Source organism: Homo sapiens, chromosome 20, assembly GCF_000001405.40.
Source record: "Homo sapiens chromosome 20, GRCh38.p14 Primary Assembly".
Taxonomy (NCBI): Eukaryota; Metazoa; Chordata; class Mammalia; order Primates; family Hominidae; genus Homo; species Homo sapiens.
The window spans coordinates 9618024-9644054 of NC_000020.11; the positions used below are offsets into that span (position 1 = coordinate 9618024).

General features: G+C 40.7%; 1 protein-coding gene and 1 long non-coding RNA gene across 8 annotated transcripts in view; one reads left to right on the plus strand and one right to left on the minus strand.

The window, feature by feature from the left end:
* Positions 1–26031, minus strand: part of PAK5 (p21 (RAC1) activated kinase 5) — a 301707-nt gene that overhangs the window by 80654 nt on the left and 195022 nt on the right. The window lies entirely within an intron of this gene.
* On the plus strand, positions 1984–8875 carry LOC101929348 (uncharacterized). The gene is made up of 3 exons (XR_244242.4): positions 1984–2068; positions 7866–7996; positions 8774–8875. It is a non-coding gene; the product is annotated as an uncharacterized LOC101929348 (long non-coding RNA).

Below are 26031 nucleotides of genomic sequence, written 5' to 3' on the forward strand. Positions count from 1 at the left end.
AAACGCTACAACGAATTAACATTCAGTGGAGGTAATATTAGTATAAGGAAAAATAAACATTATGTAAGCATGTGACAAATAGGCTTGTAATGTGGCTCTCACACAACTAGATGACAGCATACTCCAAGGAACATACAGCGCTGGGCGACACTATCAAGGGAGAAGGAACAGCTCTAGGAAGTGCCAGAACATACAGTAAATACTACATAACTCCAAAGAGTCAGGTACCCCCCCAAGTTTTAACCCCTCTAAATTATAATCAAATTGATAAAACATAGCTCCACTCCATGTGGCTACAGAGTTTTCTGTTAAGATCCCCTGCCCAGTGTTATTGCTGAGACATATGTTGATACACAGGACAGACTATTACGGCCTGGAACTTTTTTTTTTTTTTTTTTTTTGAGACAGAGTCTCGCTCTGTCACCCAGGCTGGAGTGTAATGGCACAATCTTGGCTCACTGCAACCTCTGCTTCCCGAGTTCAAGTAATTTTCCTGCCACAGCCTCCCGAGTAGCTGAGATTGCAGGCATGTGCCACCAGGCCCAGCTAATTTTTTTTTTTTTGTATTTTTAGTAGAGATGGGGTTTCACCATGTTGTCCAGGCTGGTCTTGAACTCCTGACCTCGTGATCCACCCACCTTGGCCTCCCAAAGTGCTGGGATTACAGGCGTGAGCCACTGCGCCCGGCTGGAACTTATTTTTAATTCAATCATCAAATCTTTATTGAGCAGGGTGACAGGTACAGTTCTATAAGTACAAGCAACTTAAGGAAAAGCTGAGATGAATCGATATTTTCATAACATATCATATGTTTCAGGACTGGAGGTTTTAAGAGGAAGAAAGGAAGGTAGAAAGTGGCTTCTCTCAGATTCTTTTCTCTCTCTTTCTTTCGTTTTTTTTTTTTTTTTTTTTTTTTTTTTTTTTTTAATCTCACTGTTGCCCAGGCTGGAGTGCAGTGATGGGATCATGGCTCACGGAAGCCTTGACCTCTTTGGCTCAAGTGATCTTCCCACCTCAGCCTCCTGAGTAGCTGGGACTACAGGTGTGTACCACCACAACTAGATAATTTTTGTATTTTTAGTAGAAACAGGGTTTCGCCTTGTTGCCCAGCCTGGTCTGGAACTCCTGGGTTCAAATGATCTGCCTGCCTCAGCCTCCCAAAGTGCTGGGATTACAAGTGTGAGCCACTGTGCCTGGCCAGATCCTATTGTTTACTGTTGTTTTACTTTAGGTAGACCAGAGAAAATAGAAACAAAGAAAGTTTGGAAGAAAAAAGCCATGACTGCTTTTGATCTCAGGAAACTTAGCTATTATCTAGGACATGGCAAGATAAAACTGAAAAACAATTCTATTCCTTCCACGCTTCTCTTTGAAGGAGACACACTTGGCAACCCTGGCCACACTTCTCTTACCCCTTTTCACTGCCCAATACTCTCATTTCTCAGACACCAAATCCCTAACAAACTTCTCAACTCCCAGTTCTTCCTGGCTTTTTCTCCTGCCCTGTCTGCTGTGTTCAGGTCCCTTTTAAGGGTGCCGTTGGATAAATATTTGAACATTCCTAAAGATGAGGAGCTCGCCTTTCCAAGGCAGCCCCTTGCATTGCTGGATAACACATTTCCAAGTCTTGCCCTATTGAGGTAAAGTACTGGAGTCTCTCCGTGCTGCCTTCACTTACCTCTTCCTATTTTTCCTTCCAGGGGATTCCTAGAGGTTATTAATTCCCCTGCTGTGGGACAGTCATTCAATGTTTGAAGAAAGTAATTGTTTACTTCCCTCCCTTGATTCTTTGACAGAAGATCACCAGGGCTCTCAACCAATCATCAGTGCTCTCAACCAATCATCAGTGCTCTCAGACAATCATCAGTGCTCTCAGCCAATCATTAGTGCTCTCAGCCAATCATCAGTACTCTCAGCCAATCATCAGATCACCTGAATTCTAGATTTTCCATCATCTCAGCCACCTTTTTTCACATGCAACTTGTTAAACGTTGTCCAAGGATGAGATGGAATGAAATGGACACCTTTAGTGTACAGATAACATGGACGGAAGTTCTGTTGTAACAAGGTGGGTACAGAAAGTGAGGGCAGAAATATGAATCAGCAACACTGCCCTCCACCACAGCCTTTATTTGCCCATTCACAACACTCTGTAATTAGAGCTAGATCACATGGACAATTATTTCCCCTTTGGAGTAAACATTCCTAGAAGGAAGGACTCATCCCTGATTTATTCAATGTTGTGTCCTCAGCACTGGGCTTGGTATTTGGCTGGCATTTGTTGAAACAAAGATCCTAAAAGGGAACAATGAAAATTTGAATTCAGGTCTCTTCAGAAGGATTGCGGAAAGCAGGAGGAGGATTCTGGGACCATCATGACCTAAACAATTCTCCCTCTCCTCCATGTTCAACTCCAGGGTGTCCACTTCTTTTGACCACATGGCGTCTGGGGCTGATGGGCAGTTGGACCAGCAAGGCTTGGGTGCTGAGGACATCTCAACAGAGAGAGCTTGTGGGCTTGCTTCCACCTGGATGGGGAAGAGGTTGCGCTCTAGCTGCTCATGGGTGGACAGCAGGCTCAGGTCCTGGGAAGAACATGGCTCACAGTGATATGGGGACCCAAGACCGTGAACTATGGCACCATGGATTTCCCAGCTCTGGAGATGTGGTGTTTAAAAGCTATACAGAGTCTCTGCCCTGGAGGTTGGGAGAGTCTGAGAGATGGTGGAGGAAGAGAGGGCTTCCTCCGTGCATCTCAATGGGGAATTGACAGTCTGCCTGCATGACGCCATCAGTCCCCAGGTGTAGTTTCCATTTTGTCTTCCTCTAATCATGGGACTACTACCACACAGAGAAAGAAAATAGCCAGAAAAAATATATATATATTAATATATTGTAACCAAAGGTATCCAGCAGCCAGAGAAAGAGAGAGAGAAAGAGAGAGAGAGAGAGAGAGAGAGAGAACAATGGCTCAGAACAGATTAAACTCTTACCCAACAAAACAGAGCTACCGGAAGAGACAGATGACAACTTGAATGTAAAAAGCAACAAGAGCATCTCTGTTGATTCAAGCACGACACAAAAGAGAGTGTCTGGAAATAGGCAATTCAAAGCATTGATTGAAGGAGAAGATGGTCACTGCTGAGACATGAGGTTTAGACTGACAAGTAGAAGAGATGTCTCAAAACCTATGCAAAAATATAAAGAGAGGAAAGTCATAGGGGAAAAAGAGACTTAACATGCAAAATAAGGGAGTGTCAGAAGAATAAAAAGGAACAGATGGCGGGCAGAATTTAACAAATAATAGATGATAATTTCCTTGAGCTAAGGACCTGAATAGACAGCTTAAAAAAATGTCATTAAGTTCAGGGCAGGACTGATTAAAAAAAAAAAAAAAAAAGACACACCTAGGCATATCCTGAAAAATTTTTCACTCTTAGAATAAAAAAAGTCTCTTACATATTTCCAGGAAAGAGAGAATATTAATGGGCTGATTTGAAAAAAAAAAAAAAAAATACTTATGTAGGCATATCCTAGAAAATTCCTTAATTCTAAGAATGAAAAAAACTCTTACATACTTCCAAGAAAGAATGAGAATACCAATGGGCTTATTATCTAAAAACCTGAAGTTTAAATAAGTACAGTCCTGCAGTTGACTTAGGTCTGAGTGTGGTGGCTGACGGGCAATGGCAGGCCACTCCTCCTGAGAACAGCCCACAGTTATCCAGAGAGTGCTCACAGCCTCATGCAGCGGGGCCTGCGGTGTTATGCCTTTCTTTGGGGATGGTCTCAGCTAATGACTTATTGAAAAATGGTAATAAAAGTCAGAATTGCTATCTCCAGGTGAGACAACCCCATGGTGCCATTGATACTCCATGGTCTCAGGCTCAGGCTAGACTGGAACTGAAACCACAGCTCTGTCCATAATATTCTTCAGCACTCTCCTGCCTACCTTATTCTGTCACGGGTGCCTCCTGAGACATCTCCCTCAGTAAGTCACTTGCAGAAGAATCCCCATCTGAGGTTCTGCTTCTAGCAAGCCCAGCCTGAAAGGAAAGGACTGGGAAACCTATACTCAACCACGATATAATTCACTCATTAGCAAAACCAAAACCAAATATATACGTGATTATATGTTAGATTTAAGAAAGCAAAACATGATCATATATTACAGTTATCTCTAACCATTTTGAGGTAATGCTAGGCAAGACTTTATCCAAATAACAGATGATCTAGATCTTCCCTTTCAATATGGTACCCACTAGACATATGTGACTATTTAAATTAAAATTAATTAAAATAAAATCAAATCAAAAATTCAATTCTGAGTCATCCTCAACATATTTCCAGAGCTCCATATCTCCATGTATCTGGTAGGTACCCTAGTGGACATTTACATGATCACAGAAAGTTCTACGGAATAGTGCTAATCTAGACATTGACCTCAAGATGAAGTAAACATGAGGAGGAGGGGGAAACTTGTTAATTCAGTTAATTCAGGGGTGTCCAACCCGCGGGTCATGGACCCATACCCGGAGTGTCTGTTGACTGTTGGGAAGCAGGGAGCACAGCAGGAGGTGAGTGGTGGGCCGGTGAGCATTACCAGCTGAGCTCTGCCTCTTGTCAGATCAGCAGCGACATTATATTCTCATAGGGTTGCAAACCCTATGGTGAACCAAGCATGTGAGGGATCTAGGTTGTGTGCTCCTTATGAGAATCTAATGCCTGATCATTTGAGATGGAACACTTCCATCCTGAAACCATCCGCACCCCTGTCTGTGGAAAAACTGTCTTCCACAAAACCAGTCCCTGGTGCCAAAAAGGTTGGGGACTGCTGTGTTAAGCAACACACCTGGTGTGTGCTCAGTCTGTATCTCTCTCTCTGTTTCTCTCTCTCTTTATTGAATTAATTCTGAATGGATAAGTAAGACTGTCTAGGAATGATGTGTTATAAAATTGCTAAATAAGGGCTCTTAAAACACAATATGCAGAAAATTCTAATAATAATTTAGTGCTGTATGTATAAAATGAGTCCATCAACATCTAGGAGTTAGGGAAATAAAAGTATTTCAAAGTCTCTGTGTCACAAGGAGTGGAGAAAGGGAAGAAGAGGAATGGAAGACATTTTTCTAATTGTCTCATCTTATTGGAATCAGAAATAGGGAGGACATATTGCATTTTGTGGGGAGAGATACAGTTAATATTATTGGGGGAGTGAGTTGGGAGTTTGTTGAAAAATATAGTAAAAAGGGAAGGTATCTGATCACAACAGCACAGAAAGTGGAGAATCCATTAGTGGAATGGAACAGTGGAAACTCCAAGTTAATAAAGGAGAGGAACAGAATGAAAAGCAACATGATCAAATCAGCAAGAAATAAGGAAGAGGAGAAAATAAAAATGTACATTAAATAAAGCATTAAGTAATAGGGAAGAAATGAAATCAAGTAGATGAGTTATGATACTAAATATAAATGTACCAAATTATTGTACCAAATTCCAATAAATGTCAGACTGAATAAAGACAAAACAACATAAAACTAAACAACTATATGCTGTTTATAAGACAATGCTTACAGATACCCAAATAAAAGTACAGTATTAGACTAAGATAGGTACAAACAAAGAGAAATCAGGTTTGAAAGTATAAGACAAGGGGGCATTTAAAGTTAAATGCATTAAAGAAACTCTTAGTAATGCAAGAATTCTCGCAAAACAACAGGAAAGTTGACAAAGGATTTGAATATGCAATTCACCAAATGAATGGTCCAACAGTTAACAAGATATGAAGAGATGCTCAAACACAATAGTGAAAAGAGAGGAAATAAAAACCACAATGAAATCCTCCTTAGACCTGCAAATATTCAGTTTATAATACCAGGGCATGGTGAGAATGTAAGGTGTGCAACCTTGTGCTTTACTGGTGGGGAGTACACTGGTACCGTCATTCTGGAGAGCCATCTGTCAGTACTTACTAAATTCAATGGTACATACGCTTTATGATCCAACAATCCCACTTTAGGGTCATGGTATGTCTTGTAGTCAAGACAATTTTAACCCAATGCTGAATATGAGGTCCAATATTAGACAATAAAATATTGTAAGAAAAACATAGGAAAATCACAATTCTAGAGAAAGACTTAAACATACTTATCTCAAAATTTGGCAGAAAGAGTTTTTGCTATAAAAATAAGTAAGGCATAGGAGAACTGTATCAGAAAATGCAACTTTTGTCCAGTCCTATAGAAATTTTAGCCTGTCTTGGTTATCAATATCTCAGTCACTGACATACTCAGTTTCACATCTCAGCAAGCACTGACATCATGCCTAGCCCATGACGGGTATTCAATAATGCTGAACAAATTGAATGTTGAATACCTAAAAAAGGTATGGATATGGTGAATACCTTAGAAAAGAGTAGAATTTGTACACTTGGAAGGTACTTCTAGAAAGATTTTTATGCCATGTCCAGGATGGGGTAGAAATATTATAAAGGTAACAGAATTTCTTCCAACTTATCTGTTTTCTTAAAATTAAGGTTCATGTTTTCTCCTTACCTCTCTGTCTTATAATGTGCTAGTGTTCCCATTATACCCTTGACAAGTCACAGCGATCTCAAACACAGCTCTGTGCTTTGTGGAAAGGCCCTGGCTCTGGAGTCTCCTGAGCTGGGTGGAGCACGCCTCAGCTCTGCTATTTGAGAGTTGTGTGACTGTTGGTGAGTCCTTTGGGTTCTCTGAGCCTCAGATCACCCAGTCTGTAAAAGAAGGATAATACCTACCTCACAGGGGCTTAGATGGGGTAATGTGTGTTCAAATATGTTACTAACTATGAGCCCCAGTCCTACATCCCAAAGTGAGTTCGCATCTCACAGAAACAAACAAACAAATTATGAATCTGTTATAAGCAATTAAGTAAGGATTCTTCACATTGGTTTGTGGGCAACAGAACTTTATAACTGGGCATAAAATAGATGCGGGCCATTTACATCTACAAGTAGCCATTCATGAAGGTTAAAAAAGTATTATTACTACCACTACCACCACTGCCACCACCACATCCACCAGCCATCTCCACTGGCATCACTGTCTCCACAGCTTCCACCACCACCACTTCCACCACCTTTAACCACCTCCATCACCTCCAAACCACTTCCTTCTCCACCATCAATGACCTCCACCACCTTCATAAGCTCTAGCTTCAACACCATCTCCTTATATTTGATAACTCCTTCATCCTGATGTTCTCACTCTCTGCCCGGACACCCTCTCATTTGACTTGATTCATGCTAGTTTAAAGCTAATGGAAGAATAATCCATTGAGGATCTACCCTTAATTGAAGAGCTAACTTCAAATATGAGCCACTTTCTACAACGCTGTGCCAAGAAGCTATGCGCCATGCTGGGTAGTCCCCTCACATCTTCCCTTGCTACACCACGCCCATGGATGGTGTAGGGCATAGTGCTGTGCACGGGTTTTTGGTGTGAAGTTATCAAAAGTAAGACTTTTTTGAATTTCACAATGATTTTTATTTGTCTTCATATTTTTTTCTTTTCTTTTTCTTACGGAGAAGGTCTTGCTATGTTTCTCAGGCTAGAGTACAGTGGCTATTCACAGGCACCATCCTAGCTCACTGCAGCCTTGAACTCCTGAGCTCAAATGATCCTCCTGCCTCAGACTCCCCAGTAGCTGGAACTACAGGTGCATGCCACTGTGCCTGGCTCTGTCTTCATTCCTTCCCTGTGTTCTCCTAGCTTTGCTGGTTGCTGACAATTTATAGGCTTGTCAATTCCTTGGCTTTATTTTTATTCATTAACTTGAAAATCTGAAGCGCAGCTGATGGGTTAAAAAATAGTTTCCTGTTTTAGGCTCACTGTTTCCAAAATCAAATCAGTGACAAAACCATGAAGATCATAGGATTTGGAAGGTGAAAAATCATAGCATTCAGGACTGCAGGTGCCACCAGCTAATTGGGCTCACTGGGCTCTGAAACTGCAAGGTAAGAATATAAATAGGCCAAATAACTATGGGTAGTAATTGTGGATTCAAAGACTCGACCTTTACATAAAACAATGGAGTTTCTTACCCGTTTGAAGACAATGAAATTATCAATAAAAATAAACTAACAATCAACATAAATTTCCAACAATAAGAGGGTTTTAAAATTATGGCACATCTGTAGAATTCTAATGTGGACACTTAAAATAATATTGCAAATCCAAAACAAACAAAAACAGAAAAAGAAAAAAAAGAAAAATAATAAAAATAATCTTGCTGTCAAAAGGAAACTAAGTTCATAGTTTCCAAACCATATGCCAAGGTACCCCAGGGAACTAACTGCAGCGAACTTACAATGCTGTGGCAGGCTATTTTAAAATTTTGAAGGCAACAACGATATTTAACTTGTGAGACACCTTCTAAATTACTAGTGCATCTTTCAACATTAGATTGCACTACATGTATTTTGATGACATCAAATGTAAAGCAGTGTATCTGGCAGTTGCCATGACCAAAAACAAACAAACAAAAAGTCCTGTGTGAAAATCAATGTGGAACAGGAAATGAGGGTGAGGGTGTGGTATCCAACCTGGTTCCAAGGTTGGAGAAGTGAGGCGGTGTCCAGCAGGCCTGCACATTTCACCAGTGTTTCAGAATGAAATATAAGTATTTTGCAAATTTCAATTTACATGTATTTGTTGTTATGCCATACTTACAGTTTGGACTGAATTACCTAATAAATGGAATGGCTTTTATTTTTATTTATTTTTTTTTCTAGGAGGTGCTGTGACAAGTTACTGAGAACCAAGAAACTTTGGTAACCCCTGAAATTTGGTGAAAAAATGAAATCAAAACTGTGTAAATACAGTCAACAATCTCACCCTTTCGTGTATGTGTACGCACATGTGTCTGTGTTAAAATGGTGTAAAAAATACACCAAAATTCAAAATTCAAAAAAAAGACAGGTCTTTATTTTTTTCTCCAGTTTTCTAATTTTGCTAAGCTGCCTATGATGAATACTCAGTGCTCTCAAGTGGTAAAAACATAAAAATGAAAGGTTTTTAGAAATAACTCTCAAAGGAAGCACATTTTCTTCTATAGATAAAAATATCTGCTAAACATACCACAGGGTTTCATTTCTAGAGAAGGTTTATCACATTCAGCTGTTTCTCCAGCTTTCTGCTCTAAGCTAAGTGGGATCTGGCTTTAGGACATGGAGATTTGACGAAAGCTATTTCCTCATGCACCTCTCCTTAGTGTTGTTTAAAAAGTGCTCCTTTTCCCCACCCCTACAGACTTCAGAAAGTGAACTTGGCTTGGGGTTTCCAGCCAATGAGGTTTCCAGCCTCACAGCTCACATGTCCTGCAAAGATGCTGCTGACCCATGAGGCGGGAGGTGAGGGCTGCTAATGTCAGATGCTGCTGCAAGTAGTCATTGCTCTGCCTCCTGCTTCATGGTAGGAGCAATGGCCTGCAGCACTGCAGCAGCCTGCAGGTTTCAGGTGAAAGATACCACTGGAAGCCTGCCCTTAGAAACCTCACACTTGAATGCACCCACAAGTGAAAGAGACCTGCGGTATTTTTCCATTCAATGTTTTTTCTTTTCCTTTTCTTTTCTTTTTTTTTTAAATGGAGTCTCACTCTGTCACTCAGGCTGGAGTGCAGTGGCACGATCTCTGCTTACTGCAACCTCCGCCTCCTGGGTTCAAGTGATTCTCCTGCCTCAGCCTCCCGAGTAGCTGGGATTACAGGTGCCCGCCACCACACCAGGCTAATTTTTGTAAATTTAGTAGAGACAGGGTTTTACCATGTTGGCCAGGCTGGTCTCGAACTCCTGACCTCAAGTGATCCTCCTGCCTCTGCCTCCCAAAGTGCTGGGATTATAGGCATGAGCCATTGCGCCTGGCCTTTCCATTCAAATTTATAAGAACTCTGAGAACTCACACTTGTACGGTTTAGAGAGTTACATATAAATTATTCCAAATGGTATTCCTAAAATGATGAAGACATACATGTATAATTTTTGTTTTATTAATTGAGAGAGAAAATCTCAAAATATTGTTCTCTTCTTAAAAAAGGGAATTTTCATTATACTTTGTACATGTGACCATTTGGTTTGATTCATTTTTTATTTCTTGACTGCTAATGTTTTAATGTATTAAGCTATTCAATCCTTACTCCAGCCCTATGAGGTAGTACTGTTATATCCACTTCTAACAGATGAGGAAACAGAAGCTCACAGAGGTTAAGTAACTTGCACTAGGTCATATAGCTGGAATATGAAGAATCAAGATTTTTTTATTTATCTTGGATGGTTTGGCTCCAGAGGGCTCTTAAGCAATACATTGTCACTGCCTCTTTGTAAAGTTACTATTTGTTTACATAGGGATATTCATTCATTAGGTATGAATATAAGACTATACTCTTCCATAAAATCCAAAGTTACATCTCCAAATTTTGTAGGAAGTATAGTCATTTTGTTCTCAAAGCTTTCATAACAAAATATTTATACTTCTGTTATAACATTATGTTTTCATTTGTCTTTACAATTCTTTCTCCCTCACTAGACTGTGCACTCTGTGAAGGTGAAGACCAAATACTGTTGTTTTTTCTCTCAGAACATAGTAGGTGCACAATAAACATCTGTTAAGGAAATGAAAGCTGATATTATACTGATAGCAGTTGCCACCGGTGCTGTGCCTTTATCCCCTCAGTCCACCCCAGAGGCCACCTGCAGAAATTTCCTATCCATGCTGAAGTTTCCCTGAGTCTCTCTACCACAAGGTGTCCTCTGGCTGTTGGGGAATGCATGGCCAAGTGTGGAGTTGCCAGGAAATTAACTCCTGGGAGCAACGCACAACCAAGAAAGCTTGGAGTTGGTGGGTAGATGTCCCAACTTCCTTGCTCCTTGCTGGGCTACTTGTGAGGTGTGCTCCATGTGATCTCAGAGCATCCCTGGCACAACTGAGTCGGCTTGCCTATGGGGTTGCCTGTTCATCAACAAACCAGGCTTCTTCTCCTTTCTGGCCTCAGTACCCCATTCCCTCAGAACTGTAAGGAAATGAATTTTGCGAAGTGGATTCTTGCCCTGTCAAGCCTCTGGATGGGAAGGCAGTGGGGAATGTAGCCCAGCTGACACCTGAATTTCAGCCTCTGAGACCTGAGGAGTCAGTGAAGCTGTGCCAGACTCCTGACCCATAGAAACTGCAAGGATACTAACAAATGTGTGTTGTTTTCAGCTGTTATATTTATGGTAATTTGTTACATAGCAATAGAAAACTAGTATAGCTTTTGATACCTGGAAGTGGGGAACTGCTATAGCAAATACCTAAAAACATGAGTATTAGTTTGCTTGGGCTGCTATAACAAAATAACACAGACTGGGGTGGCTGCCTTCTTACCTGTATCCTCACATAGCCTTTTCTCTGGGTGGGCACCTCTGGTGTCTCTTCCTCCTCCTTTTTTTTTTTGAAATATTTAAAAAATACACACAGGGTCTTGCTATGTTGTTCTTGAACTGGTCTTGAACTCCTGGACTCAAGTGATCCTCCTGCCTTGGCCTCTCAAAGCGCTGGGATTACAGGTGTGAGCCACCATGACCGAGCTCTTCCTTTCTTTTATAAAGGCACCAGCCCTATTAGATTAGGGTCCTACCCTTGTGACCTCACATAGCCTTAATTACTTCTTAAAGTCCATATCTTTAAACAATGTCACATTGGGGATTAGCATCTCAATGTATAAAGTTTGGGAGGGACACAGTTCAATCCATAACAATGTGGAAGGGGTTTTGTAACCAGGTGGGTGAAGGCTGGGGGAATTTTGAGGAACATGGTAGAAAAAGCCTAAATGACATGAACAGACTCAGAGTAGAAAACTGGACATTGAGGATGCTGATGGTGAAGGCTCAGAAGTGAGGAACACTAATCGGAAACTGAAGGAAGGAGAAGGGAGAATCTTTTGTAATGTGAAGTTCGGTGAAATAGTCTCCCGAGGTCGTGTGGAAAGCAGAATTGAAAGTGATACTTGGCTGTATAAAGATTTCCAAGAAAAGTGTTGAAGGAACCCTCTGGTTTCTTCTTTCTGCTTGTAGTAAAATGTGTGAGGAAAGAGGAAGATTGGGAGGACAATTTTTCTCAAAAAACAGAATCAGAATCTGATGATGTAAAAAATTCCGATGATCTCTGGATGGCACAGATGCTAAAATGAAGAGGTTCACTCTCAGGAAAGCATGCACTAGGGAAAAGTCTGAGTGAGACTGTAGAGCTCTTTGTTAGAAACTTAGAAAGATCAAAAGACAAAACTATGCAGTTACACGAAGGGGTCTTTTAAGAAATTAAAGGTCTGCCCTACAGATCTTCTCAATCAAGCCAGAAAACCTCAAGGAAGCATATGGGCATCGTCCCTCAGTCATCTCAGAAGGAGGCCAAGGAACAGGAAGGCTTATCTTTAAAATATCTGTGGATGTGGCATCACCTAATGGAGTGAACTGCAGTGAATCCACACAAACTCTACAAAGTTCTTAAGGAATTGTTTCATCAGGAATACTGGCCACTTGGCCTGAAAGGGACAAAGAGAGTATGAAATAAAGGAGGCTTTCAGACCCTTCCAATTCTACTAGCAGTGGAAAACATGCTGATAAAACTACTCAGGATGCAAACATGTGCTGCCTTTCATGAAAAGGAAGGGCAGAACCAAGAACCCTGAGGGAGGAGCCTAAGCCACAGAGGGCCATTCCCATGCCTTGAAATGTAATCAGGGAACTCCTAACATTTGCCTGGCTGGATTTCAGAAGAGTCACGGACCAGTAATTCCCTTTTTCCTTCCACTCACTTGCCCTCACCCTGCCCCCATTTTGAATCAGAATTTTTACACCGGTTATCCTGTGCTGTCCCACCATTACATGTTGGACAGGCTGGGGGCATATAATTTGTCTCTTTGGCTTCACAGGTCCATGGATGGAAAGGAATTGTGCCCCAACAGCTGTATTTAATAGATTACTCCCAAGCACTCCATCAATACCTAATCACAATTTAGATGATGAGAGTTTGGACTTTGAGATGATGCTGCAATGAGATGAGACTTTGGGATCTTGGGCTGGGATGAATGTATTTTGCATGTGGGAGTGACATTGGGAACGAGGTAGACAGACCCTAGGGTGACCCCTCAATGATTCCCACCTCCTGGTGATCATGCCTTTGATTATCCCCTCTCCATGAGTGTAGGCAGGATCTGTGGCTTGCTTCTAACCAATAGAATATGGTAAAGGTAAGAGGCTGTCCCTTCTGTGTCGTTACATGTCAAAGGTGATGGAATGTCACTCTCATGGTTAACTTACATTATATGGCAACACTGATGGGATATCACTTCTGTGAGTACATTATTATATATATAGTCCAAGCAGACTAGCTCTTGCTTTCCTGCTAGCCTTGAAGAAGCAAGCTGTCACGCATTCTGCAGCTGCAAAGAAAAGAATTCTGCCCACAGAATTCTGACTAAATAAGCTTGGAAGTGGATTCTTCCCCATTTGAGCCTCCAGATGGGAATGAAGCCCAGCTGGCCCCCTAATTGCAGCCTTGTGAAACCTTGAGCAAGAAGATCCTGTTAAGCCATGCCTAGACTCTGAACTCAGAGAAACTGTGATAATAAATATGTGTTCTTTGAAGCCATTAACTTAGTGGTAATTGTCATGCAGTAATAGAAAGCTGATATGAAGGTTCTCAACAGGTGATGGATTCAGTGATTCTAGCAAACACTTAGACAGGTACCATCTTAGGCAGCCATTAACCTTACAGGTAACAGTAGTAGCATCCAATCAGATAGTGATGTGCTGCTTGGAAATGATTTTAAAGTGATAGATTTATCATCAGTATAAAGTTGACAGCATAATGCTTCCACTTAAAATTACACAATAAAACACTAAAAAGGATAGGATTTGATAGTTCCACTAAAGCAGCCTCTAGCTGCCATCTTAGTGTCCCAATTTCTATAAGATGCTAAATGAGAGATAAAATTAAATCTTTCAAGTTCCAAGCATGAGTGGGAGTCACAGAGAGCCACATGCCTTTCTTCTTTTGATTTAGAAGGATTATTTTCAGTTAGGTCACCACTGCTGGGAGAGAAGAGCTGGGGAAAAGAAGATGTCCCCTAGAATATCATTTCACATTATATAGAATTTCCCAGCTATCAAAGCACAGCTGTCCTTATTTGATGAGTTCAGCTTTCAGGAGTTCAGAGAGGGCCACTCTATGGGAAACCAACACAGTTCTGGAGACAGGCTTGTGATCTGGGGGGTATGCTGTTTGACCTAAAATATGATGGGCTCAGGGAGCATCCAGGCCATAGTGGAGAAGGAATGAGTGGCACACGTTTGAAAGCTCACTCATTTGCTTCTCGTTGCATGATTTCATTGACATTTCCTATTTAAATATTCTGCCTAACTCACTTGAGAAGACTGCGTGGATTACATGCATAATGAAAGACTCTGCAAAGGGCTCTGAGTACTCTACAACTAAAAAATAAAGTCATATGGCAGTAATGATAGGGAATCATAGTCAGGTAGGTATTTATAAAGATGTCCTTGTCAGATTCTCAAGGGAGAGCTCATGGGCTAAATCTGGGATTTCTACATGATCGAATCAAAAGCATTCCTTACCCACAGAAATAATATCTGCTATTAATGTGCTCTGTGGTCTTAGGAAAAAACACTGTGCCTACCTGAGTCTTAGTTACACAATCTACAAGGTGAAAAGGTAAGAAGGAAGCAATTTTGTTTTCTGACTTAGCATCGTTTATGCACATAACAGTTTTTCATGCCCAAACATACTTATTACCAGGAGGCACAGTGATGTGGTGATTACAAGCCCAGGTCTTGGAGTCAGATAGGTATAAGGTTTGAGTCCTGGGCCTTTCCAGTTACAGAAGTGGGATCTTAAACAAATCCTTTAAACTTTCTAAGACTTGCTTTCCTTACCCAAAAGACGGAGTTACTACTCTCTAATTGAAAAGGCTGGTATGGGGCTAAGTAAGATAGTATCAGTCAGTTGTCCTATAAGGTTGCACAACAAACCACCCACACTCAGGTTCATACAATGAGGTTGGGGCTGGGTGGCTCTGCTTCCAGTTTCAGAGATGCAGGCAGTCTGTCATCTAAGGCATATTCTTATGATGTTGGCATAAGCACAGAGGGAAATCTTAGCTGTCCATTAGAAGTCTGCTCACATCACCCCACTGGCCATGTGAGTCCCATGCAAATTCAAGGGATGGGGAAGTACTCAGTCCTGTATGAGACTGTGGTGAGAAAAATGAAAAATTGAGTTTATTTATTTAGTTTTTGAGACAGGGTGTCACTCCATTACCCTGTCTCTAAATAAATAAATAAATAACTGGGTTCAACTTAGAAATTGGGTGAATTTGCACTAATCAATCATACTTAGTCAAGACTTATCTGTACAACTGGGTTAAAACTATTTGTTATTATAAGTGCCACAAAAGAATAAATCTTAAACATTTTTTACTCTGTAAAACACCATCCGATATTTGGTAATGATACTCTTGATTTTGGTCAGGCCTGTTGCCTAAGAGATTTCAACAAAAACTAGAGATTACTACAGATTTGACACCTGCATTGCCTTCACATCAGCTTCTGCTCTGGGAGTAGAGTTGGGGTAAAACACTCAAGTGGAGGTACTCACAGGAACCCTCAGTATATGCGGTCCCTGTGTGGGTTCTTCTCTATCACTTCCTCCCAGGAGTTACAGTAGGGGAACACAGCCACTGCAGGAATGCTGGGAACAGCATTTTGAACCATGAGAAGAGGCCTTCAGGGATAGATCTAACCATTGGTGGTAAATAACTTTTCAATATAACCTATAACTGACAATTGCTTTAAAATGGTACATTCAATTTGTGTTTACCTTGGTCTTGAGGTGGCAGGAGATTAAATCTTTCAAGTTCCAAGCATGAGTGGGAGTCACAGAGGGCCACATGCCTTTTTTCTTTTGATTTAGAAGGATTATTTTCTAATAATCCTTGGCAGGAGATTACAGTTACTCCTTGATGGGGAGTAACTGAGAGCATTCATTCATGAGGTCTCAGTGACCCAATTTTAGTTGGGACCCTAGGAGCAGTCTTCCAAATGCCAGGATCATGGACCATGAATCTCCAGTTATTCTCTGCTGGTTCCAGGGAGCTGCAGGTGTGATAGATGTGACATCACCCATTTGTGATTACAGAGCTGTCACTCTGGGTACCAGGATGGCCCTGCCAAGAGGCCTGGAGGTGTGTGGTTAACATTGGCCCTCCTCCAAATAGAAGAAGTGGTGGGTACCCACAGGGATAAATTCCCTGGGGTGATACTGTCTTCTCTGAAAACATCAGCTTTTGTTTTTAGAGTAATAACTAGGCCATGTGAGCTTAAGTTTGTTCAAAGTTTAAGAAAATCTTAAAGTGGCTTATGTAAAACCCTGCAAAACACTAATGTAAACAAAGTTGGTTCTTATTAGTGGTTGATGTAGTTTGTTACTTTTAAAGGGTGTGAGAAAGAGACATTTATGGGGAAAGATGGTGTGTTGACATGGTGCACATCAAAAAATAACCACATTAATATAATCAAAAACTGCTTGGCTGAAGTTTCCAGATTGGATGGGATCATAAAAATGAAGAAATATAATAAATCTAGCTTTGGTTTTGGATTTCTTCTTTTATTTGGAAACAAGATTACCTTGCCCACATCTCCTGAATTTAGGCAAATGAGAAAATGGGGGCCAGTGTGATGTTTCTATTCCACAGTCTTTGTGGTGGTGGGAGGGCTGAAAAGGCATACTGACACTGGAAGGAGGGATTCCAGGAAGTAACAGGCACCAAGAGAAATGTGAGTGTCCAAGTCCATTGTCCTCACTGGTTTTGCAAGTATAAAAATAATATAAACAACTTTAACAAAGGATCAGCAATCTCTCCTCCCGCTGAGGGCCTTGGTTCTGAAGAACTCAATGCAGTTCTTCTGAAGTGGCATTTTTGACAAGAGGTTTTAAAACATAGGTAATCTGTCTAATGGGTTTCATTTTATAATTGCTTTTACTTTGCAATGAAATTAACTGTCTTTATAACATATACACTCTTTCTTCTTTAAGAAGGTTTGAATTTTTATTAAATGTCTTCTGATAATCATTAAGTTGGAAGAACTTCCTGCATCCCAACTGTTCACAACCATTTGACTAACACACCTCTAACACCTGCAGGATTACATATTAGATCAATATATTTGGTACACTATACATTGGGTCTGACCCTTAAATAAATCAATTCATTTTGTATTAGGACAATTTCTTGATCTGAGACCTGTGTCCTTCATGCACAGAGGCTTCACAAAATAGCAAACTCCTGACTGTGGCTTTCAAAAGTGCCCCGTGCCATCCAATCTCTACTTGTCCATCTGGCCATATCCCCCACCCCTCTCCCCATCATGCTCTGCTCTACCCAACAGATGATCTGTTTTTCCTTTAAACTCCTCAAGCTTGTTCCTGCCACAGGGTCTTGGGACTAGTTCTTCCTCCTTCCTTTGAATATATCCCTTTCCAAGGTCTTCTCCTGGCTCCATTGTTACCTCTTAGAAGTGCCCTGATGTTCATCCAGATGAGAACTTAGAAATGAAAAGGGGTGACCCAGCTCAGTGAACATGAAGGCACTGGACTTCATGTTGCAAAAAAGATGCTTCTAGCTCAACACTATATTTTAGCAGAAGCAGGTCTAAAAGAAGGGAGAGGCAAAAACAAACAAACAAAAAACACTGATTTAAGAGGATAGGAAAGTAATGGGGAACCTAATCTGTGAGCTTTAAGAAGAGACCTGTTAAGGGAGCCAGAAAAGTCATGAGGGGGCAGCCCCAGCTCTCAGAATTGCTGGGAGCTTCACTCAGCTAGGAGCATGGCAAACATCTGGAAACAGTTTAAACTGCTTGGCAACAACTCTCAGAAAGTAAAGGAGGCACTAAAAGAAATAACTCCTTCTGGCTTAATTCTGACCAACAAGGAAGACCACATCAGTTATGCGTAATTGAGAAGGAACCTTGGGGAAAACTGTTACCTTAGGTCAAAGGGAAATAATGCTAGAAAATGTCAGATAGTTGCCCTGTATTTTGGGAAAGCAGATTTTTAAAAATATTAAAGGAAAGAGAGAATCCCATGGAAATAAAACTAAGAAAAATGATATAGCTCTAAATACAATGCAAAATTGAGCATCACAAAAATAGAGAAAGGTAGAGAATTTCAGAGTAATTAAATTAGATTCAATTTTGGATGAGCTTTCAACATAAACTACGATGGGAGAGAAAATAAAACAGTGGTCCTCAAGAATGGGATGGCCAGACCTAAAGATTTACCTCTCTTGATTTTTCCTGTTTTTGTGAATAGAGAAGTTTTTAAAGCAGTACTCAGCAGCAGTCGATAAAAAAGGAAGAGACAGAACCTCAGCTTTGAAAGATTATAAAATACCGAAGACTACAAAGACAAACAAAACTAAGTCAGAGCCAGCTTTGTATTGGTCTTCTCTGTGACTCTTCAATCTTTAAAAGATAAAAAGAAGATTGTTAGGAAGACTTTGAAGGCTAAATTAGAAAAGGGATGGTAAATAAGGATCTAACAATTTAAAAAACTTCAAAACAGCTGGTTTAGAGAAATTATATAGTATACACGAAAAGGGATGGAATATTGTATTCAATAATCTTTGAAAAGGTTGTAGAGATTAGAAGATTGCTGGCCAACTAGAAAAGACAAAAGTCTCTATTTTCATTTAAAACAACAAAAAAGTCAGTAGTGTGTGAAAGGCAAGTTGCAGAAGCCACAGATAATCACATTTAATATAAGTTCCAAGATAGTGGTTCTCAAACTTTTTGTCTCAGGAACCTCTTAAAATTATTGAGGACCTAAAAGAGACCTTAGTTTATATTATATCTATTAATATTCACTGCATTAGATATTAAAACTGATAAACTTATTAATTTACTTGAGACAGGTTCTTGCTCTGTTACCCAGGCTGGAGTGCAGTGGTTCAATCGTGGCTCACTGTAGCTTTGACCACCTAGGCTCAAACGATCCTCCCACCTCAGCCTCTAGAGTAGCCGGGATGACAGGTGTACACCAGCATGCCTGGCTAATATTTTTTTTATTATTACTTTTAGTGGAGACGAGGTTTTGCTAGGTTGCCCAGGTTGGTCTCAAACTCCTGAACTCAAGCACTCTTGCTTTGGCCTCCCAGAGTGCTGGATTACAGGCATGTGCCCACCCAAGAAAATTTAAAACATAAGACTATAAAGCACATGATCCATTAAGCATCCACCAATGAATGACATTATCACATGTAATGTAGCTTCTCCATTGTATACACAGGAAACGAGAGTTAAAAAAAGCAAACTTTAATTTTGTAGACTCCCTAAAAGAGTCTGAGGAACCCCCCATAGGTTTAGACCACACTTTTGAGAACCACTGCAAGAAAACTTTTCACCATAGGCCCAAGAAGACATGAACACAGATGTCCATGACAATATTATTAATATTTATAATAGCAAATACTTGACAATATCCCTTAGTAGAGAAATGGATAAATTGAAAAAAAAGCTAGAGTAATTTTTAAATAAATTCATTTTCTACACATCAGTGTGAATTAATCTCAAAACACTATTAAGTAAAAAAGCAAGTTAGAGATTATATACATTATGACATCATTTCATAAAACTCACATATGCCGAATAAAACTATCTAATATTATTTGTATAATTCTACCTGAAAATTAAAAAGAAATATGAAGCAAATATTAAGATATGCTTTTTTTCATTTTAGGTAGAAGCTACAAAAGCTTTTAAATATTATCCTCTGTATTTTGTTTTTTAGCATTTTCAAATGATTTCTAGGCTGTAACAAAGGGAAAGGGTGATCATTATGTTGTGGCTTTAGTCCACCTAGAACAGCAGTTCTTAAAGTACATCTATCCATCAGCAGCATCTGAGAGCTTGTTAGAAATGCAAGTTATCAGGCTCACTCCAGACCTACTGAATCAGAATACCTAGGGTGGGGCTTGGGAATCTGAGCTATAACAAGCCCCCAGGGAAATTCTTATGAAAGTCTAAGTTTGAGAATTACTGGCCAATCACAAACAAATACGACCATTCAACCTGCCCTTTACATAATGCATCTAATTCAGCACAGATTTTGGTAATATTGCTTATGATGTTCTCATGGACGAAATGACATTAGATATAAAAGGAGTTTCTCAATGATATTTGCCAAATGTTTTAAAGGGAACCTCCCCCTTGGGGTATTCAGGTTATCTTGGCTAGCCCTACATGGCCTACATGGCTAGCCCAAAAGTTTGGGCACACAAACTGTTGACACAAGTACAAGCTAACTTGTGGCTTCTGGTTAAATTTCTGACAGTTTGGAAATCCCGGCTGGTGTAAACTCACATTGATTATACCTTATGTGGATACATTCTTTTATACTACTTAAATCAAAGTCAAAGTGTGGTCCTCAGACCAGCAGCATCAGTACCACCTGGAAACTTATTAGAAATGCAAATTCTTGGGCCCCATCCCAGTTCTACTGAATCAGAAATTCTGAGAATGGAGCCCAGCAATCTGTGTTTTATCAAACTCTTCAGGTGATTCTGATCTGCTGTATGGCTGGAGAAGCCCTGGCCTAAATAAGTCTACACAGAGGAGAGGTGTGTCCTGGTAAGCGTGACAATGGGTAAGCCTGAGGTTCTAAACAGGAACAGCTGAAATCCTAACTAATCAAGGAAGAGTGTTGGTGGCAACGGCAGATTTCCACTCGGAACTAGCTTGGCAAAGCTTGCTGACAAGTACTGAAGAACTGGCATTTTCCACAACATCAGGGGCGACACACTTCCTCCGTTGACTGTTTTTATGTCATGATCTCTTTTCTCATTTTCCTTTCTCAATTTAAAGGACACTTTGACCAAACCAACTAGAATGGTTGGTTCTATTTAACTTAAATAATTTTGCCAAAATGGCTTTAAACATGCATGACTATATCCAGTCTTTTCTGCCCATTTATTCATTACTTCTTATTTCAAGGACTTTTTTGACTTCTGAGATATATTCTCTATACTTTATCATATGTCATTCTTAGGTGACTTGTAAGATTTTTCCAGAGAAGCCATTTTCAAAAAATGGGATCATACAAACTATATAACATAGTTTGTCCCCTTAAACCTTTTAATTTTTACTTATTGTAAGAGTCTGGTAGTCACAGGATTCTGTTTGACCACCAATATTGTCTACTGTCTGCCAGTGATGTTAACTGAACTCATATGTGGAGACATATTTACACTCATATTTGGAGAAAGATAGGATTTGCTTTATGGGAGTTTAGTGTTAGTATGAGGTACTAGATTTTTTGGGTGTCCTTCAGTTAAATGGATTTGATCAACTTTACTCTTTATGGGTGAGATCCAACCTAGCTGGATCTTGTTTTTGTCACTCCTTGTCTGTTTTTATTTTATTTTTTTCCCTCAGCGGCACAATTGTGCCTCAAGTCTCATTTGCAGAAATCCAGAACCTGCTCTATACTTGAGATGTATCTTCCAGTCATCACCCAGTTAACATTTAAGTGTCTATAACTAATATTTTAGTCTTTTCATTTCATATGGACTGAATGCTCATGCATTTGGCACAAAGGCTGGAAAGCCCATACTAGTGAGTAAGAGAAGCACAAGGTTTAGCAGCTTAGAAGTGAGGAAATCTTGCTCCAACTCTCAGTGGGACTGATTGTCAGAGAGGAAAGGATAACAAGCCAGCCCACCTAGGAAATGGAAGAAATTAGGTAGAAGGTTCTGCTAAGTCCCACATCCACAGAACATGATGTGTTACCACTAAGATGAAAGCCTCTTTCTTTGCTCTCAAACAGGACCTGCTAGGTTGTGGACAAGTGAAAAACCGTGGTGAAGTAAATGATACTTTGTCCTAACCAAATAATGCATACACTCTAACAAGACGGCACATGTCCTGGGTCTTCAGCTAGAATGTTTATTATTTTTTTTTATTATACTTTAAGTTTTAGGGTACATGTGCACAACATGCAGGTTTGTTACATATATATACATGTGCCATGTTGGTGTGCTGCACCCATTAACTCATCATTTAGCATTAGGTGTATCTCCTAATGCTATCCCTCCCCCCTCCCCCCACCCCACCCCACAACAGTCCCTGGTGTGTGATGTTCCCCTTCCTGTGTCCATGTGTTCTTATTGTTCACTTCCCACCTATGAGTGAGAACATTCGGTGTTTGGTTTTTTGTCCTTGTGATAGTTTGCTGAGAATGATGGTTTCCAGCTTCATCCATGTCCCTACAAAGGACATGAACTCATCATTTTTTATGGCTGCATAGTATTCCATGGTATATATGTGCAACATTTTCTTGATCCAGTCTATCATTGTTGGACATTTGGGTTGGTTTCAAGTCTTTGCTATTGTGAATAGTGCCGCAATAAACATACGTGTGCTTGTGTGTTTATAGCAGCATGTTTTATAATCCTTTTGTGTCCAGAATTGGTGGGTTCTTGGTCTCACTGACTTCAAGAATGAAGCCGCGGACCCTCGCGGTGAGTGTTACAGCTCTTAAAGTGGCACGTCTGGAGTCTGTCTCTTCTGATGTTCAGATGTGTTCAGAATTTCTTCCTTCTGGTGTGTTCGTGGTCTCGCTGGCTCAGGAGTGAAGCTGCAGACCTTCACGGTGAGTGTTACAGCTCTTAAGACAGCGCGTCTGGAGTTGTTCGTTCCTCCTGGTGGGCTCGTGGTCTCGCTGGGCTCAGGAGTGAAGCTGCAGATCTTCACGGTGAGTGTTACAGCTCATATAAGCAGTGTGGCCCCGAAGAGTGAGCAGTAGCAAGATTTATTGCAAAGAGCGAAAGAACAAAGCTTCCACAGTGTGGAAGTGGACCCCAGTGGGCTGCCAATGCTGGCTCGGGCAGCCTGCTTTTATTCTTTTATCTGGCCCCACCCACATCCTGCTGATTGGTAGAGCCCAGTGGCCTGTTTTGTCAGGGTGCTGATTGGTGCGTTTACAATCCCTGAGCTAGATACAAAGGTTCTCCACCTCCCCATCAGATTAGTTAGATACAGAGTTTCGACACACAGGTTCTCCAAGGCCCCACCAGAGCAGCTAGATACAGAGTGTCGATTGGTGCACCCACAAACCTTGAGCTAAACACAGGGTGCTGATTGGTGTGTTTACAAACCTTGAGCTAGATACAGAGTGCCGATTGGTGTATTTACAATCCCTGAGCTAGACATAAAGGTTCTCCAAGGCCCCACCAGAGCAGCTAGATACAGAGTGTCGACTGGTGCACTCACAAACCTTGAGCTAAACACAGGGTGCTGATTGGTGTGTTTACAAACCTTGAGCTAGATACAGAGTGCCGATTGGTGTATTTACAATCCCTGAGCTAGACAGAAAGACTCTCCACGTCCCCACCAGACTCAGGAGCCCAGCTGGCTTCACCTAGTGGATCCCGCACCGGGGCTGCAGGTGGAGCTGCCTGCCAGTCCTGTGCGGTGCGCTCACATTCCTCAGCCCTTGGGTGGTCGATGGGACTGGGCGCTGTGGAGCAGGGGGTGGTGCTCGTCAGGGAGGCTCGGCCGCACAGGAGCCCATGGAGTGGGTGGGAGGCTCAGGCATGGCGGGCTGCAGGTCCCAAGCCCTGCCCCGTGGGAAGGCAGCTAAGGCCCGGCGAGAAATCGAGCACAGCGCCGGTGGGCCGGCACTGCTGGGGGACTCAGTACACCCTCCGCAGCCACTGGCCCAGGTGCTAAGTTCCCCATTGCCCGGGGCCAGCAGGGCTGGCTGGGTGCTCCGAGTGCGGGGCCCACCAAGCCCACGCCCACCCGGAACTCCAGCTGGCCCGCAAGCACCGCATGCAGCCCCGGTTCCCACTTGTGCCTCTCCCTCCACACCTCCCTGCAAGCTGAGGGAGTGGGCTCCAGCCTTGGCCAGCCCAGAAAGGGGCTCCCACAGTGCAGCGGGGGGGCTGAAGGGCTCCTCAAATGCCACCAAAGTGGGAGCCCAGGCAGGGGAGGTGCCGAGAGCAAGCGAGGGCTCTGAGGACTGCCAGCATGCTGTCACCTCTCACTTTGGGTATATACCCAGTAATGGGATGGCTGGGTCAAATGGTATTTCTAGTTCTAGATCCCTGAGGAATCGCCACACTGACTTCCACAATGGTTGAACTCGTTTACAGTCCCACCAACAATGTGAAAGTGTTCCTATTTCTCCACATCCTCTCCAGCACCTGTTGTTTCCTGACTTTTTAATGATCACCATTCTAACTGGTGTGAGAATGTTTCTTTAAGACTCTGCTTCCATCTAGAATGTTTCTTATCCAATGATAATGATAATGATACTCCAGGGTAAGAAAATAAGTCTTAGTTTCATGTGAGAATTTTTCTTTCCCCATGGTGATAAATAGTAGAAGACTTTTCAGGGCACACTGCTCATTGCATTTTCTGGGTTTTGTAAAAACTTGGGATATAAGAAAAATAATGAAACTAAACAAGCAGATTTTTTTCTAATCCCAACTTTTTAAAGATATGGTCCACCTTATTATATGATCATTAGTGAAGTGCTAGCCTTCTCTTAGGGAGAAAATTATGTTCAATAGTAGGATATTTCCACATGCAAACTAGTAGAGTTGGTTAGTCAGTTTCTAATAAATATCAATTGATATCTGTTTAAAATGACAGCCTCCTTTTGTTCCCAAAGCTTTATCTTCTCAAATATCCATTTTTTTGTGTGTGTATGTACTTAACATTTTAGTTGGTTTGAAAAGTTTTGAAATTCTACCAGAAAATCAAACTCACAAAATGCAGAATTATAAGACTCTGTATTGATCTTTGGGCAGAACAGACTCATATGTTCAATACCAGAATAGAATGACCAGCACTGTGCATGAACAATGGAATCACAGTTCTAATTTAGTCAGGTCAGGTGATATTTCATAAGCATTTCCCATAATGTATCAGCTGTTCTCTTTCTTTGCATCCCTTTAAAAATGTATTCAGTTTTGTTCTGCATATTATTTAAATACAGTTTATGCAGTATTCATGTTAACACAGAATAACATATTCAAATAGCACAGATGTCTACTAATATAATGAACAAGGAAAGAATCTGAACTTCAAGCTTTGTGTAGATTATGAAACTCTGGAATGATCCACTGGATAATATGATTATAAGTTTCCATGATGTTTAACTCCCATAGAGAACTTTTGGGCAATTGCCTGCTAGTCTATAGAATTCTTATCATTCTGAAGAGCAGAAGAAAACTGCAATCCCTGGATTTTCTTTGTAGTAACTTGGCATAACTGAAATCTTTTTGGGTCTGCTTTCTGCTTACATGTAATTACTTTTATGAGCATTTATTGCCAAACATTTCCTAGTTACATATTTAAGATAAATTATATCTGATTCTAGGACTCAAATTACTTGCTTTTATTTGAAATAGCTCTCTTTTAGGCTATAAAGACAAATTTGAAAGCTATAAAGACAAATAAATATGTGCGTATATGTTTGTGTGTATATATACACACATATTTATTTGATTATATAAACATATACATGTATATGCCTAAATATGCATATGTATATATATTTATCAATACCATTATTAAAATCTATTGGTAGTAAATTTTATATGAAAGAAAAGTTTAAATATTTTGAGAGCAAATGGAAAACAACAAAAGGTGGTCTAATGTTGGTCAGAGGCTATTGCTAATATTAACCAGAGTGGATGGATAATATGCTTCAGTATAAAGTCTAACAAAAACACCATTTAAAGTCGAAATAAAAATGTCCTATTTTGTGATCGTGTTTTATGTGTCTGATTATTCAAAAATCACATCTAAAGCCAAAGTTCCCTTTCATGGGCTGCAATTTATAAGAAATGGTGAAAATTATAATCATGAAAGAATAATTGTGAATAATCTGTGAATGTTAAAAAATATGTGGTTTAGGCATTTTATAGCTTGCTTAT